The following is a 17,966-nucleotide window of genomic DNA, read 5'->3' as shown; positions in this document are numbered from 1 at the left end:
CTGTACTTGGAAGGCTGAAGCAGAAGGATTGCTTGAGCCCAGGAATTCCAGGCTACAGTGAGCTATGATTGTACCACCGCACACCAGTCTGGCAGAGACCCCAGACAGCAGAGTTAAATTGGAACTGCCCTGGGATCCTATCCATGGCCAGAGCATGCCCTGGAGCCCCTGGTACCCCCAGGCTCAGATTCTGGGGGCAGCAGGGCCCAAGGGAGCTCCAGGTCAGGAGCCCAGAGAGCCAAGTGGCTGGCCTGGATATGTCCGTCCTCTCCTCGCCACCTGCCATCTGCATTTATGATCAGCTCACAAGCCCTACCTCCCAGTCGCCTGGCTGTAACCCACCAGTGTTCCAGAAGGCCCATAATGACCCCAAATGAGAGAGTCAGGTCCCAGGCCCCAGGCCACACCCTCCACTCCAAGATTCAACTTCTCTGGGAAGAAAGGAATCCCTGGAGCCTATCCCTATTTCTGGAACAGACCTTAACCTTCAGTTGGCTTTTGTTTTCCTGGAATATTGGTGGTGCCAGAAAGACTATTCTAAAGGCTGACAGGTGGCTGAGTGTGATGGCTCACGCCTGTAATCCCAGCACTTTGGGAAGCTGAAGTGCGAGGATCATTTGAGACTAGGAGTTTAAGCCCAGCCTGGGTAACATAGTGAGACCCCCATCTCTATAAAAAGAAAATTTTAAATTAAATGAGCTGGGCATGGTGGTACATGCCTGTAGTCCTATCTACTCAGGAGGCTGAGGCAAGAGGCTTGAGCCCAGGAGTTCAAGGTTACAATGAGCTATGATCACGTCACTGCAGCAGTCCACCCTGGGTGACATAACAGGATCCTGTCTCTACTTCAAAAAACAAGCAAACAAACAAACAAAACAAAATAAAATAAAACAAAAAACAGGCTAGGTGCGGTGGCTCACGCCTGTAATCCTAGCACCTTGGGAGGCTGAGACAGGTGGATTGATTGCCTGAGTCAGGAGTTTTCAACCAGCCTGGACAACATGGTGAAATCCCGTCCCTATCAAAAATACAAAAAATTAGCCGGGTGTGGTAGCATGTGCCTGTGGTCTCAGCTACTCAGAAGGCTGAGGTGGGAGGATCACTTGAACCTGGGAGGTGGAGGTTGCAGTGAGCTGAGGTCACGCCACTGCACTCCAACCTGGGTAACAGAGCACAACCCCATTTCAAAAAAAAAAAAAAAGGGCTGATGGGGGTGCAGGAAGTGGCCTGTGCCTGACAAACCGTGTGACATTTCCCCAGAGCCTGATGGGACCGACGCCAGACCCAGGCTGAGCCCCGTCAGCATTCTCAAGACAGATCCACTTTCCTGGAGTTCCCAGGGGCTCTGAGAAGCCCCTGTAAGACCTGAAATACACCTGTAACAACCCTGGGGCGCAACACCAATTGCATAGAACACCGTGCAAGGTCTGTAGTAGGCAAAAAAATGCCTTCCCCAAAGATGTCCCTGTGCCAATCCCCAAATCTGTGAATATGTCATACCTTAGGTAGGTATCACGAAGGGATTTTGCACATGTGATTAAAGTAAGAGTCCTGGCTGGGCGCCGTGGCTCATGCCTGTAATCCCAGCACTTTGGGAGGCCAAGGCAGGCAGATCACTTGAGGTCAGGAGTTCGAGACCAGCCTGGCCAACATGGTGAAACCCCGTCTCTACTAAAAATACAGAAATTAGCCAGGCATGGTGGCACATGCCTGTAATCCCAGCTACTCGGGAGGCTGAGGCAGGAGAATCGCTTGAACCCGGGAGGTGAAGGTTGCAGTGAGCCGAGATAGCGCCACTGCACTCCAGCCTGGGCAACAGAACCAGACTCCCTCTCAAAAAATTTAAAAAAAAAAAAAGACTCCTAAAATGGGAGAGTTTATTTTAGGTTATCTAGGTGGGCCTGAAGTAATGACAGGTGTCCTTAAAAGTGAATGAGAGAGGCAGGAGAAAATCAGAGAGGCAGAAGGCCTTCAGAAGGGGCAGAGTGCTGTGATGTGAGGGCTCCACTCACCATTGCTGGCTTTAAAGATGGAGGAAGGGGGCCAGGTGCAGTGGCTCATGCCTGTAATCCTCGCACTTTGGGAGGCTGAAGTGGGCAGATCACCTGAGGTCAGGAGTTTGAGATCAGACTGGCCAACATGGCAAAACCCTGTCTCTACTAAAAATACAAAAAGTTAGCTGGGCGTGGTGGTGCATGCTTGTAATCCCATCTACTTGGGAGGCTGAGGCAGGAGAATGGCTTGAATCTGGGAGGCAGAAGTTGCAGTGAGCCAAGATTATGCCACTGCAATCCTAGAACTTGGGGACGCCAAGGTGGGAGGATCTCTAGGACCCATGAGTTCAAGACTAGCCTGGGCAATATAGGGAGACCTAATCTTCACAAAAACAATTTGAAAACTTAGCTGGACATCGTGGCACATGACTGTGGTCCCAGCTACTCAGGAGGCTGAGGTGGGAGGATCACTTGAGCCTAGGAGCTGGAGGCTGCAGTGAGCTATGATTGCACCACTGCATTCTAGCCTGGGCAACCCACTGAGATCCTGTCTCAAAAAAAAAAAAAAAAAAAGGGGGGGACAGGCACGGTGGCTCACACCTGTAATCCCAGCACTTTGGGAGGCCAAGGCGGGTAGATCACCTGAGGTCAGGAGTTTGAGACCAGCCTGACAAACATGGAAAAACCCCGTCTCTACTAAAAGTACAAAATTAACCAGGCATGCTGGCACATGCCTGTAATCCCAGCTACTTGGGAGGCTGAGGCAGGAGAATTGCTTGAACCCAGGAGGTGGAGGTTGTGGTGAGCCGAGATCACGCCATTGCAATCCAGCCTGGGCAACAAGAGCAAAACTCCATCTCAAAAAAAAAAAAAAAAAAAAAGGAGAAAAGGACCAAGAGCCAAGGACATCAGTGGCTGTTTCAGTCTGTTCAGGCTGCTATAACAAAACACCATAAACTGAGTTGCTTCTAAACAACCACACATTTTTGGCTCACAATTCTGGAGGCTGGGAAGTCCAAAACCAACATGTTGGCAGACTCTGTCTTGTGAGGGCTCTTTTCCTGGTTCACAGATGGCCATGTTCTTGCCATGTCTTCACATGGTAGAAAGGGCAAGTAAGTCTCTGATGATTGATGAGGGCACTAATTCCATGCATGAGGGCCCCACCCTCATGACCTAGTCACCCCCTAAAGCCTCCACCTTCTAATACCGTCATCTTGGAGGTTAGGTTTCAACACATGAATTCTGAAAAGACACAAACTTTCAAACCATAGCAGCCATTTCTAGAAGTTATGTAAGGCAAGGAAATGAATTCTCCCCCAGAAGGATGCAACCCTGCCATCATCTTAATATAAGTCCAATGGGATCAGTGTCAGACTTCTGATCTTCAGAACAGTGAGATAATAAGTTTGCATTGTCTGAAGTCACTAAATTTGAGATAATTTGTTAACTGCAGCAGTAGCTGACTAATACAAAAGCTTAGCTGGAGCTCACCCATATCACAACAGTAACCACTTGTGACTATTTCATAGCATGCCCTAATAGGTCTGTAAGTACCTGTACACCTTGATGGAAGTAACTCAACTCAAGAAAAACCACTGGAAACACCTGCAATAAACCTTTAACACCCGTAAGATGTTACCACCTAAGATATAACTGTAACTCTCTCCTTGCCTAAAAATACACACAGGTAACTTACCTTATCTAGGGTGGCCATATGTCTCTCTTTGTCTAATTTTCACTTGACCCAGGTATAAATATTCTTTTCTTTTCTTTTTCTTTCTTTTTTTTTTTTTTTGAGATGAGGTCTCACTCTGTCACCTAGGCTGGAGTGCAGTGGTGCGACCTTGGCTCACTGCAACCTCTGCCTCCCGGGTTCAAGCAATTCTTCCACCTCAGTCTCCCGACTAGCTGGGATTACAGGGGCTCACTGCCACGCCCAGCTAATTTTTGCATTTTTAGTAGAGATGGGGTTTCACCATGTCAGCAAGGCTAGTCTCAACTCCTGACCTCAGGTGATCTACCTGCCTTGTTGTCCAAAGTGTTGGGATTACAGGTGTGAGCCACCATGCCCAGCCATGATGTAATTTATATACAATAAGATGCACCCATTTATTATAATCATTAGGATGGCTGCCATCAAAAAAATTACAGAACATGAAAGTACTGGTGAGAATGTGACAAAATTGTGCACTATTGGTGGGAATGTAAAATGGTACAGCCACTGTGGAAAAAGCTTCTGGCAGTTCCTCAAATAAATTATAAATAGAATTGCCATATGGCCCAGGAATTCCATTTCTGGGTGTGTGGCCAAAAGAACTGAAAGCAGGGTCTCAAAGAAATATTTGTACACTCATGTTCATAGCAGTATTATTTACAATAGTCAAAAGATTGAAGCAGGTCAGATGTGGTGGCTCTCGCCTGTAATCCCAGCACTTTGGGAGGCCGAGGCAGGCGGATCACTTGAGGTCAGGAGTTCGAGACTGGCCTGGACAACATGGGGAAATCCCGTCTCTACTAAAAATACAAAATTAGCCGGGCGTGGTGGTGCGTGCCTGTAATCCCAGCTACTCAGGAGGCTGAGGCAGGAGAATCACCTGAACCCAGGAGGTGGAGGTTGCAGTGAGCCAAGATCACGACACTGCACTCCAGCCTGGGTGATAGAGGAAGACTCCGTTAAAAAAAAAAAAGATTGAAGCAACCTAGGTGTCCATAAACAGATCAATGGATAAGTGGAATGTGCTCCATCCATACGATAGAATATAATTCAGCCCTAAAAAGGAAGGAAATTGTGGGCCAGACGTGGTGGCTCACGCCTGTAATCCCAGCATTTTGGGAGGCTGAGCTGGTGGATCATTTGAGGTCAGGAGTTTGAGACCAGCCTGGCCAACATGGTGAAACCCCGTCTCTACTAAAAATACAAAAATTAGCTGGGTGTGGTGGTGCACACCTGTAGTCCCAGCTACTTGGGAGGCTGAGGCAGAAGAATTGCTTGAACCCGGGAGGTGGAGGTTGCAGTGAGCAGAGACTGTGCCACTGTACTCCAGCCTGGGTGACAGAGCGAGACTCCATCTCAAAAAAAAAAAAAAAAAAAAAAGGAAGGAAATTCTGACACAGGCAGTTATGCTAAGTGAAATAAGCCAGCCAGGCACAAAAAGACAAATATGGTATGATTCCACATTATTCCACTCATAGGAGGTCCCCAGAGTCAACTCACTCATAGACACAAAAAGTCGAACGGGGGGTGCCAGGGGCTGGGGCACGCGGCGATGGGTAGTCGTCGTTTAATCGGTAAAGTTTCAGTTTTTGTTGGTTTTTTTTTTCAGTTTTATAAGATGAAACAATTCCAGAGATTGGTTGTGCAACAATGTGAATATACTTAACACTACTGAGCTGTATGCTTAAAATAGTTAAAATGGTCAATTTGTTGTTATGGTATTTTACTTCAATTTAAAAATTTTTTTAATTGTTTAATGTACTCATTTCAAGTTTACAATTCAGTGAGGTTTTTTTTTTTGGTTTTGTTTTTGTTTTTGAGACGGAGACTCCCTCTGTTGCCCAGGCTGGAGTGCAGTGGTGCAATCTCGGCTCACTGCAACCTCTGCCTCCCAGGTTCAAGCTATTCTCCTGCCTCAGCCTCCCAAGTAGCTGGGACTACAGGCACCCGCCACCAGGCCTGGCTAATTTTTGTATTTTTAGTACAGACAGGTTTCACTTTGTTAGCCAGGCTGGTCTCGAACTCCTGACCTCAAGATCCAAACGCCTCAGCCTCCCAAAGTGCTGGGATTACAGGCATGAGCCACCGCGCCTGGCCAATTCAGTGAGTTTTAACAAAGGTATACAGCTGGGCAACCATCAAGATATTGATGATATAGAACATTTCCATCAGCCCTAGAATTCCCTCCTGCCCTTCAATCTCAGCACCAGCCCTGACAGAGACCTAGGTCATCACCAATCTGCTATCACTATGAATTTGACTTGTCTTGTGAAGTTTCATATAAATTAGATCATACAGTGCATAGTATTTTGTCTCCAAATGCTTGCTCCCAGTGTGATGTGTCTTTGTATTTTGTGTTTTTCATGTTTGTGGGTATATACAGGTGATTACATTTATGGGGTACATGAGATGTTTTGACACAGGCATGCAACGTGTAATTATCACATCATGTAGAATGCAGTCTCCATCCCCTCAAGCATTTATCCTTTGCGTTACAAACAATCCAATTATATTCTTTTATGTTTTATTTTTATTTTTTGAGACAGAGTCTCACTCTGTCACCCAGGCTGGAGTGCAGTGGTGCAATCTTGGCTCACTGCAACCTCCGCCTCGCAGGTTCAAGCAATTCTCCTGCCTCAGCCCCCCAGGTAGCTGGGAATACAGGTGTGCACAGCCACGCTCGGTTAATACACTCTTTTAGTTGTTTTATTTTTTCTTGTTGTTGTTTTGTTTTTGGTGTGTGTGTGTGTGTGTGTGTCTGTGTTTGAAACAGGGTCTCGCTGTGTCGCCCAGGCTGGAGTGCAGTGGTGCAATTTCAGCTCACTGCAACCTCTGTCTCCCAGGTTCAAGCGATTCTCCCTCCCCAGCTTCCTGAGAAGCTGGGATTACAGGCGCCCACCACCACACTGGGCTAATTTTCGTGTTTTTGATAGAGATGGGGTTTCACCATATTGGCCAGGCTGGTCTCAAACTCCTTATCTCAAGTGACCCACCCACCTCGGCCTCCAAAAGTGTTGGAATTACAGGCGTGAGCCACGGCGCCTGGCCTAGTTATTTTTTAATGTACAATTAAATTATTATTGACTGTAGTCACTCTGCTGTACTATTAAATAGTAGATCTTAGTCATTCCTTCTAATTGTTATTATCACTTTTTTTTTTTTTTAAGATGGAATCTCGCTCTGTCACCCAGGCTGGAGTGCAGCGAGGTGATCTTGGCTCACTGCAACCTCTCCCTCTTGGATTCAGGCAGTTGTCCTGTCTCAGCCTCCCGAGTAGCTGGGATTACAGACGCATACCACCACACCCTGCTAATTTTTGTATTTTTAGTAGAGACAGGGTTTCTCCATGTTGGCCAGGCTGGTCTCAAACGCCTAACCACAGGTGATCCACCCACCTCAACCTCCCAAAGTGCTGGGATTACAGGTGTGAGCCACCGTGCCTAGCCAAATCAAGCTTATTCACAACATATGTATTGCCTTAAGCCAGGGCGAGTCACAAGGTCAGGAGTTCAAGACCAGCCTGGCCAACATGGTGAAACCCCTTCTCTACTAAAAATACAAAAAAATTAGCTGGGCGTAGTGGCTGGTGCCTGTAATCCCAGCTACTTGGGAGGCCTGAGGCAGGAGAATCACTTGAACCCAGGAGGGGGAAGTTGCAGTGAGCCAAGATCGCACCACTTCACGCCAGCCTCGGTGACAGAGTGAGACTCCGTCTCAAAAAAACAAAAACCTACTTTCTGAGTAATTTTCGAGTATACAATATGTGATTATTAACTATAGTCACCATGATGTACAATAGATCTCTTGAACTTGTTCCTCCTGTCACTGAAATGTTGTATCCTTTGGCCACCATCTCCCCAGTCCCCGCCCCACCCCGCCCACCACCACCTGCCTCTGGTAACAAATATGTTCACATAATTTTGGCTAAAAAAAAAAGTTACAGCCAGGTGCAGTGGCTCACGCCTGTAATCCCAGCACTTTGGGAGGCCAAGGTGGGTGGATCACCTGAGGTCAAGAGTTTGAAACCAGCCTGGCCAACACGGTGAAACCCGGTCTCTATTAAAAATACAAAAATTAGCCCGTGGCTGCTCACGCCTGTAATCTCACGATTTTGGGAGGCCTGAGGTGTGAGGACCACTTGAAGCTAAGAGTTGGAGACCAGCCTGGGCAACAGAGCGAGATTTGTCTCTACAACAACAAGGCCAGGTGCGGGGCACACCTGTAATACTAGCACGTTGGGAGGCCGAAGCGGGCAGATCACAAGGTCAGGAGATCGAGACCATGCCGGCCAACATGGTGAAACTCTGTCTCTACTAAAAATACAAAAAATTAGCCAGGTCTGGTGGCGTGTGCCTGTAGTCCCAGCTACTTGGGAGGCTGAGGCAGGAGAATTGCTTGAACCCAGGAGGCAGAGGTTGCAGTGAGCCGAGATCGTGCCACTGCACTCCAGCCTGGTGACAGAGTGAGACTCCATCTCAAAAAAAAACAAAAAAGTTTTTTTAATTAGCTGGATGTGGTGGCACATGCCTATAGTCCCAAGGTACTCAGGAGGCTGAGGTGGGAGGATCCCTTGAGCCCAGGAGTTGGGAGGTTGCAGTGGGCTATGATGGTGCCATTGCACTCCAGCCTGGGTGACAGAGTAAAATCCATCTTAAAAAAAAAAAAAAGGCACTTTGGGAGGCCGAGGCGGGCGGATCACGAGGTCAGGAGATCGAGACCATCCCGGCTAAAACGGTGAAACCCCGTCTCTACTAAAAATACGAAAGGGCCTTCTTATGTGTACCCCATCTGTCCTGTCCGACCAGACAGAAACTTAGTCCTAAAAATAAAAATATTTTTTAAAAAACTTTTTCTGAGATAGAGTTTCACTCTGTCATCGAGGCTGGAATGCAGTGGTGCCATTGTAACTCACTGCAGCCTTGACCTCCTGGGCTCAAGTGATCCTCCTACCTCAGCCTTCCGAGTAGCTGGAACTACAGGCACACACCACCATGCTTAGCTATTTTGTTTTTGTTTTTGTTTTTTGTAGAGATGGGTGTCTTGCTATGTTGCCTAGGCTGGTCTTGAACACCCGGCCTCAAGTCATCCTCCTGCCTTGGCCTCCCAAAGCACTGAGATTACAGGTGTGAGCCACCATTCCTGGCCAAAAAAAAAAAATTTTAATTAGAAAAAAAAGAAAAAAGAAAAATTTGGCTGGGTGCGGTGGCTCACGCCTGTAATCCCAGCACTTTGGGAGGCCAAGACAGGTGGACCACCTGAAGTCAGGAGTTCGAGACCAGCCTGGCCAACATGGCAAAACTGCATCTCTACGAAAAAATACAAAAATTAGCTGGGCGTGGTGGTGCATGCCTGTAATCCCAGCTACTCAGGAGGCTGAGGCAGGAGAATTACTTAAACCTGAGAAGCAGAGGTTGCAGTGAGCCGAGATCATGCCATTGCACTCCAGCCTGGGCGACACAGCGAGACTGACGAAAGAAAAGAAAAGAAAAGAAAGGAAAGGTAACATAAGGTAAGGTAAGGAAAGGAAAGGAAGAAAGAAAAAAGAAAAGAAAAGAAAGAAAAAGGAAAGAAAGGAAGAAAGAAAGGAGGCAGGGAGGGAAGGAGGGAGGGAGGGAAAGAGAGATAGAAAGGAAGGAAGGAAGGAAAAGAAAATTGTCATGGTGAAATGTTGGGGTTCAGGTCATGGTTGCTGCCCTCCTGGGGCCCACAGTCTGGCAGAGAGAGGAAGAGGTGGTGAGGACAGATAGAGGGTGTGCCCACGTGGTGAGGTCTGACATGAACAATTCTGGAAAAGCAATTCCCCCTCCACGGCATTTCCGGCCTGGGGAGTGGGGTACAGGGAGAGAAAGTAGGCTCTGCCCTGAAGAGACCAATGGGGGTTTGTGCTGGAAAGCAGGGCATGGAGGCAGAGAGGGGCACCTTCCAGCCACTCCCTGATTCTTTTTACGGGGTGTCCCCACCACTAGCCCCCTGAGTGACCACAGGGCAACTCTCTCTGGGGCTCGGTCAGCAAATTGCTGGTGACCTTGGAGCCCAGCTAGGGTTTCCTGGATAGAGCAGCTCCATGGTGATCCCACTTTCCAAAGTCATGTCTTTCAGACAGAGTAGTCTGTTCTTATCAGCCTCCCACCCCTCTCCCCCTGATCCCAGGAAACCCCCTCAGATCCCGAGGGCTTCTTCCTAGGAAGGCTGGGGAGTGTGGGGAAGTCCCCAGGGTGCTCTCCAAAGAAGCGGGGGCAGACAGAGTCTCCTCGTCAGGCCTGTCCCCCAAACCCCATGAGGATTCTTACCTTTCCCGTGTCCCCAGAGTCAGACACAGCTCAAAAGGATGAATGTAGCAGATGCCAACAAAAAGCCCAGAGTTTGGGCCGGGCACGGTGGCTCACTCCTGTAACCCCAGTACTTTGGGAGGCTGAGGCGGGTGGATTATTTGAGGCCAGGAGTTCGAGACCAGCCTGGCCAACATAGGGAAACCCCGTCTCTACCAAAAATTAGCCGGGCATGGTGGTGCATGCCTGTAGTCCCAGCTACTGTGAAGGCTGAGGCATGAGAATCGCTTGAACCTGGGACACGGAGGCTGCAGTGAGCCGAGATCAGGCCACTGCACTCCAGCCTGGGCAATAGAGCGAGACTCCTCTCAAAAACAAATAATAATAATAATAACAACATCTGTCTCCTAGGGTATAGTGGTCAGCTGAGTAACACCTCCCCAAAGATGTCCACATTCTAATCCCGGGAACCTGTGAACAGTTTACCTTACATGGCAAATGGGGCTCTGCAGATGGAATTACGTTAAGGGTCTTGAGATGGGAGATCACTCTGGATTATCCAGGTGGCCCAATGTCATCACAGAGTCCTTACAAGAGGAGGCAGGAGGATGAGAGTCAGAGAGAGATTGGAAGAGGCTGTGCTTCTGGCTGTGAAGATGAAGGAAGAGCAGGACATGTGGGCTCATGCCTGTAATCCCAACGCTTTGGGAAGCCGAGGCAGGAGGATTGCTTAAGGCCGGTAGCTGGGGACCAGCCTGGGCAACATAGCGAGACCCTCGTCTCTACAAGAAAACAATTTTTTTTTTTTTTGAGGTGGAGATCTTGCTCTGTTGCCAGGCTGGAGTGCAGTGGCACGATCTCGGCTCACTGCAACCTCTGCCTCCTGGGTTCAAGTGATTCTCCTGCCTCAGCCTCCCGAGTAGCTGGGATTACAGGCATATGTCACCATGCCCAGCTAATTTTTGTATTTTTAGTGGAGATGGGGTTTCACCATGTTGGCTGGGATGGTCTCGATCTCCTGACCTCGTGACCCGCCCACCTCGGCCTCCAAAAGTGCTGGGATTACAGGCGTGAACCACCACACCCGGCCTACAAAATAATTTTAAAATTAGCTAGGCAGGTGGCATGTGCCTGTGGTCCAAGCTACTCAGGAGGCTGAGGTGGGAGGATCGCCTGAGCCCAGGAGGTCAAGGATGCAGTGAGCCGTGATCATACCACTGCACTGCACTCCAGCCTGGGCAACAGAGTGAGACCATCTCTCCAAAAATAAAACAGAAAGGCAGGCCATTGTCACTGGAGGGGCATACAGAGGGGGCAATACAGAGGAGAAGGTGTCAGCCACACAGGGCCTTGCTGGCTGCCGGATTGGGAGCTGCTTAATTATGTGAGAGATATTTTTCAGGAAATTGCACTAAAAATGCTCCCATTTTTAGAGCCTCCCTATATCTGGCATTGGGCTGAAGGCTTTACGCACACAGCAACCTATGTGAGAGATTTTACAGACGAGGTTATCCCCATTTTACAGATGAGGAAACTGGGGCCCAGAGAGGATTAAGTCACACAGCAGGTAAAGGGGTGCAGCTGGGCTGGGAACCCATGGCCTTTAGTTACCCACATCAGGGGTTACACAGTGGTGGCAGTGACCAGGTGTGTCCAGCAAAGCAGCAGCACCCGCCACTGTCCTGGCAGACCCAGAAACCGGCATGAGATCAGCAGGGACGGAGGAGAAAAACACACGATCCCACACCAAAGTCCCTAGGGGGTCTGGGGGCCTGGGTCCCTGAGGATGAGGTCTGGAGGCCTGGATTCCTGGGTCTTTAAGATATTAAGCCTCACTCACGCCTGTAATCCCAGCACTTTGGGAGGTCGAGGTGGGCGGATCACCTGAGGTCAGGAGTTCAAGACCAGCCTGGCCAACTTGGTGAAACCCCATCTCTACTAAAAATACAAAAATTAGCTCGGTGTGGTCGTGGGTGACTGTAATCCCAGCTACTCGGGAGGCTAAGGCAGGAGAGTCGCCTGAACCTGGGAGGTGGAGGTTGCAGTGAGCGGAGATCGCGCCACTGCACTCCAGCCTGGGCGACAGAGTGAGACTCCATCTCAAAAAAAAAAAAAAGAGGCTAAGCCTGGGTCCCTGAGGATGGGGTCTTGGGGCCTGGCTTCCTGGGTCCCTATGGGGCTGGAGGCTTTGGTCTCTCAGGGATTGAGAGGCTGGAGTCCCAACCTCCTGGGTCCCTGAAGGGCTGGGAATTTGAGTTCCTGAAGATGGGGTTTGGGGGCCTGTCTTCCTGATCCTTAGGGAACTGAGCCTGAGTCCCTGAGGGTGGGGTCTGGGGGCCTGGCTTCCTGGGTCTCCAGGAAGTTGAAGCCCCGGGTCTGTGAGGGTGGAGCCCGGAGTCCAGGATTTCAGAGTCTCTGAGGGCGTTCTTGGAAAGAAATCCCCAAATCTCCCAGGCTGGGCCTGGGCTGCTCTCAGAAGCCTCAGGACCTGCTGGCTCAGCTCTCTGGTCCCTAGAAGTATCCTGGGGCCTTGAGGGGAGGGGGCAGGGAGGCAATGAGTGGTCCAGGACCCCCCTCCTGGAGTTCTGGGGGGCCCTCTGGAGGGAAGGGTGTGGACAACCCCATCTCTGCGTCCCCTCTTAGCCTGAGGACTCCCAGCCACACATACCAGTGCCCCCAAGCTCTCCCCACCCCACTGCCACAATCCACACCAAAAAAACAGCCTAGGTTTGGGCTCCAGATCCCGAGGTTCCCGGAAGACAAAAGTGCACATCCAGGCTCTTCTCATCCCACACACCCCTTTCCTCTTCCTGTTGACTGGCTCTCTGCCTGAGTGGGGGTCCGGAAGCGGAGGGAAAGGGGTGCATGTGACTGTGATTCAGGGCCGCCCTCCTGGCCCTTCTAGGAGTGGGGCATAGGTCCTGCCCCTGGGGAGCCCCCAGTCCCAGGAGGGGCCCATCCAGTGCAGGAGCTCAAGGCTGGGAAAAGAGGGGGCCTTAGGACTATGGGTGGCAGGGAGGCTTCCATACAAATTGGTGCTGTGGGTTGGCTCAGCACTTTAGGCAGCAGCTGCCCGTGCGAAGGCTTGGAGACAGCCTGGTGTTTCAGAACTGTGTGAAGTTAAGGCACTCTGTGGAGTCTTGGAGGAAGAGGTATGGGCGTGGCTGGAGAGACCAGCTGCCAGGCCTGAGCAGGCAGGACCCTTGAACTCCAGGACATGGGAAGCTGGAGCTTTGGGCCCAGGGCAGAAGGGAGCCATGGATGGTTGTAGGCAGAGAGAAGATATGGGCAGGTGGTTGCCGTTCAGGGAAGACACAGAGGAGGGGTTTCAGGGAGACCCTAAAGGAGGCTGTCATGAAGGTCTGGTGGGGGTGAGGACCCTAAGGGGAGCTCTCATGGGGGCTGGAGTTGGGTAAATAGGGAGTGAGTGTTTCATGGGGACACGGTTTCAGTTTGGGAAGATGAGAAAGTTCCGGAGACGGATGGTGGTAATGGTTGCACAACAGTGTGAATGTGTTTCATGCTCCTGAATGGTGCACTTAGAAATGGCTACGATGGTAAATTTTATGTTATGTATATTTTGCCACAATGAAAACAAAATAAAGCGTGATCTAGGAATCATGTTTTCAAAGCAGCGCTTCTCAACCACGGTGACTCTTTCGGCGACTAGTGGCCAGAGATGCTTCTAAACATCCAACAATGCACAGGACAGCATCCCAGCGAGGAATCATCAGTCCCAAAGTCAACAGTGCAGGGTGGGAGAGACCCAGCTTTGAACACACCTCCTCCTGGAAGCCCCCCTGGATTTGACACACCTACTGCCCTTCCTCCCCACCCCTGCACCCTTTCCTTCTCCCCTTCGTAACCCCAGGAGAGGTTAAACAGGTAGGAAAGCCCAGGGCTGTGTCGGGATGGGGTTAGAGTCAGGGTCGCCAGGCTCCATCTCGTTGGGACACAGCGCCAGGCCCTGTCCCAGGTGTGGGGGTTCTGTGATTAGAGCCGCGGACGTGCCTCCGTCCTGTGCAGAGCAGAGGTTAGGGCTGGGATCAGAGCATCGTGGGGTGAGGGGATCAAGTTGTAGTTGAGCTGGGGTTACGGTCAGGGCCGGGGCTGGGATGAGAGCTCAGCTGGAGATGGTTGAGGGTTGTTGTTGCTGGACACCCTAAACTCCTTCCTGTTGAATTCTGACCTAGGTCAAACGAGGAGCGAGACGCGGCCTCCCCCAACATGCAGAGGATCCCAAATCTGAAAGAAGAACCGACACCCACAGATCTGGGGCCCACATCCGCACAATTTTCTGTTTTTCCCCCGAAGTGAGCAAGAGGCGTATTAATACCGCAGAGGGGAAGCGGGTGGGGCAGTCCCGTGACTGGGTCCTTGGGGCCCCAAAGCATCCTAGTGTTTGAGCTGAGTCTTGGCAGGAACCCAGCAGGCAGGGGGCTTTCACCCCTGGGAAGGACATGATGGGGCCGGTGGGGTTGGGCTGGGGCACCTGGGCTTGTAGAACTCAGAAACACCAAATTCCAGCTGGGCACAGTGACTCATGCCTGTAATCCCAGCACTTTGGGAGGCTGAGGCAGGAGGATCACTTGAGCCCAGGAGTTTGAGACCAGCCTGGGCAACATAGTGAGACCCCATCGCTACCAAAAATTTAAAAAATTAACCAGGCGTGGTGGTGCGTGCCTGTGGTCCCAGCTACTCAGGAGGAGAAAGTAGGAGGATCTCTTGAACCTCAGGAGGTTGAGGCTGCAGTGAGCCGAGATCGCACCACTGCACTCCAGCCTGGGAGACAGAGCGAGACCCTGTCTCTAAAAAAAAATATGGACAATTTTGTTGTATAGTTTAATTTAGTAGCAATGGTTGCTGGGCACAGGAATTTGTTTGTTTGTTTGTTTTTTGGGATCGCCCAGGCTGGAGTGCAATGGCGCAATCTCAGCTCACTGCAACTTCCGCCTCCCAGGTTCAAGCAATTCTCCTGCCTCAGCCTCCCGAGTAGCTGGGATTACAGGCACCTGGAACCACTTCTGGCTAATTTTTGCACTTTTCGGTAGAGACGGGGTTTCACTGTGTTGGCCAGGCTGGTCTCAAACTCCTGACCTCAGGTGATCTACTCGCCTCAGCCTCCCAAAGTGTTGGGATGACAGGTATGAGCCACCACGCCCAGCCGGACACAGTTCTTAGTGACTTGTGTGCATATTAACACATCTAATTTTCACCACCACCCTAGGAATTAGATGCTTTGGTGATCAATGCTGCCTTATGTGAAGCACAGAGAGGTTAGGTGACTTGCCAAAGGTCACACAGCACTTCAATGGAAGAACCAGGAATTTGAACACAGGTAGTGTGGGTCAGGCATCTGCAGCCCTAGCCACTATGCCACCTAGACTTCTATATACTAAGACCCCTTGGCACTTTGCCCACCCTCCTCATCCTTCCCAAAATGTGTCCCCTGATCCTTAACACCCTCCCCACTCTCAACTGGGGAACTCCAAATCCCCACTCCTGGGTGGGCTACCTCCCATGTCTCTCACTCCAGAAGACACCCCCCTGTGCCCCTACAACCCACCTCCCAACCAGGAGGGGGCTGGGCTGGGCCATCCACTAGGGCTGGACGTTCCCACTGTGTCAGGGAGGGGCCTGGCTGAAATGTCCCCTGGACCCTGCACTCCAGAACAGCTGGGACCATGCTGCCTTGTCTGTCACCCTGGACCGAGTGACCCTTGGTGCATGCCTGTTGAGTGAATGACTGACTCTGGTGGTCTGAGGCTGTTCATTTTGGGTCCCAAAATGTCCCCTCCACCTTGATCTGGGGTAATGGCCGAGGACCAAGATGGTAAAGAAGTGAGGGAGGGTCCGGGTGCGGTGGCTCATGCCTGTAATCCCAACACTTCGGGAAGCCGACGTGGGTGGATCACTTGAGACCAGGAGTTCAAGACCAGCCTGGTCAACTTGGTGAAACCCCATCTCTACTACAAATACAAAAAATTAGCCAGGTGTAGTGGCGCGTGCCTGTAATCCCAGGTACTTGGGAGGCTGAGGCAGGAGAATCACTTGAATCCGGGGAGGCAGAGGTTATGGGGAGCTGAGATCATGCCACTGTACTCCAGCCTGGATGACACAGCAAGACTCTGTCTCAAAAAAAGAAAAAAAATCAAAAAGGAAGGGAAAGAGTTGGCCGCTGAGCATTGGAGAGGTGGCTGGGGGCTGCTGAGTGGACATAGGGACAGCATTTGAGGCCAAGCCAGGGTGGGGTCACTGGGGGATTAGTCTTGAGGGCAGGTCGGGTTGGGGATCCTAAGGGGGGGTCTGCCGTGGTGGCCAGGTGGGAGTGAGGACCCTGGAGGGTCTGTTTTGGGGGGCAAGACAGGAGGTAGAGCCCCAGGGAAGGCTGTCATGGGGGCAGGATGAGAGTGGGGAGGCCATGGAGGAGGCAGTCCCAGGGACAAGGCAAACCAGGCAGGGGGAACCCTAAGAGGGGGATGTCACCTGGTCCAGGGGGAAGAGGGAGCAGCTGTGGGGATGGGGAGAAGCAGGTTATTTTTTTGAGACGAGCCAGGCGCGGGTGCTGGGTGAGCGGTGGGGTGGAAGATCGGGAAGTGCTTGGACAAGGCCTGGACCTGGGCCGGGGTGTCTGGGTGGATGGACGGACTGTCCCACCAATGGGGACACACGAGGAGAAGGAGGAGGAAGCTTGGGAATAAGTCCAGCTGGGCCATGTTGTGAGGACATGGGGATGAAGTCTTAGTTCCAGGATGGGGCTGGGATGGAGTTTGGTGTTTCTTTTCTGTTTTTCTTTCTTTTTTCTTTTCTTTTTTTTTTTTGTGAGACAGAGTTTAGCTTTTGTTGCCCAGGCTGGAATGCAATGGCGCGATCTCGGCTCACCGCAACCTCTGCCTCCCGGATTCAAGCGATTCTCCTGCCTCAGCCTCCCGAGTAGCTAGGATTACAGGTGCCCACCACCATGCCCAGCTAATTTTTTTTTTTTTTTTTTTTTTTTTGTATTTTCAGTAGATACAGGGTTTCACCATGTTGGCCTTGAACTCCTGACCTCAGATGATCCACCTGCCTCGGCCTCCCAAAGTGCTGGGATTACAGGCGTGAGCCACTGTGCCCGGTCTCTCTCTCTCTCTTTCTCTCTCTCTTTCTTTCTTTCATCTCACTGTGTTGCCCAGGCTGATCTTGAACTCCTGGGCTCAAGTGATCCACTCACCTCTGCCTCCCCAGTAGCTGGGATCACAGGCATGCACCACCATGCCCTGCTAGTTTTTATAGTTTTTGTAGAGACAACGGCTTGCTATGTTGTCCAGGCTGGTCTTGAACTCCCAGGCTTAAGTGATCCTCCCACCTCAGCCTCCCAAAGTGCTGGGATTACAGGCGTGAGCCACCGTGCCCAGCCAAAACTGTCCATATTTGACCTGAATATTATCTCACGTATCTTTCTTTCCCCCCGCTTCCCTCCTTCCCTCCTACTCCTCCTTCTCCCTCTCCTTCCTTCTGTCTTTTTTTTCCCCTTCCTCTGCCTCTCTCTCCTCTTCCCTTTTTTCTTGCTGGGACTCAAACCTGGGACATTTGACCTGGGAGCCTATTTGCTCAATCATCAAGAGACATAATCTCATGGTGGGGTGTCTGCTGGTAAGTGCCGGGTGGCAGGATCCCAACTCCAGGCCGTCCTTCTAACCCAAGAGGCCCTGCCTCTGCCTAGAGCCTTCCGTGGCTCCCCAGGGCCCTCTGTGATCGGCCATAGTGGTATGATTCAGTGTGCAGTAACAGTGGTTCACATCTTGACGCTACCACTCACCTCCTTCAGCCCTGTGGGAACTTGCTGCTTAACATCTCTAGTTCTCACCCAATTCTCTTACCTGAGAAATGGAGATAATAATAACACGGACTTCACCCGGGTGTGGGGAGCACCAGGAGAGGCCATGCGTGTAATGTTATCCGGGTGGCAAGCCCATATTTAGGTCTATGAAAATAGAAGCTGTCAGT

General features: G+C 50.9%; 1 long non-coding RNA gene across 1 annotated transcript, besides 2 other annotated features; it reads left to right on the top strand.

Moving 5' to 3' along the window:
* Positions 957–1,046: an enhancer, noted in NCBI's record as "active region_13899". NCBI's record gives its function as "activates an Ori minimal core promoter by ATAC-STARR-seq in GM12878 lymphoblastoid cells {active_cell/tissue: GM12878}" and the evidence as "EXISTENCE:reporter gene assay evidence [ECO:0000049][PMID:35858748]".
* On the top strand, positions 12,876–17,030 carry LOC105372262 (uncharacterized). Its single transcript, XR_936296.2, has 5 exons — positions 12,876–13,132; positions 13,616–13,865; positions 14,174–14,293; positions 15,208–15,318; positions 16,989–17,030. It is a non-coding gene; the product is annotated as an uncharacterized LOC105372262 (long non-coding RNA).
* Positions 14,545–14,614: an enhancer, noted in NCBI's record as "active region_13898". NCBI's record gives its function as "activates an Ori minimal core promoter by ATAC-STARR-seq in GM12878 lymphoblastoid cells {active_cell/tissue: GM12878}" and the evidence as "EXISTENCE:reporter gene assay evidence [ECO:0000049][PMID:35858748]".

This window comes from Homo sapiens, chromosome 19 (genome assembly GCF_000001405.40).
Source record: "Homo sapiens chromosome 19, GRCh38.p14 Primary Assembly".
In the NCBI taxonomy this organism is placed as follows: domain Eukaryota; kingdom Metazoa; phylum Chordata; class Mammalia; order Primates; family Hominidae; genus Homo; species Homo sapiens.
The sequence above is the reverse complement of the archived record's forward strand: the minus strand, read 5'-3'. Positions and strand labels throughout refer to the sequence as shown.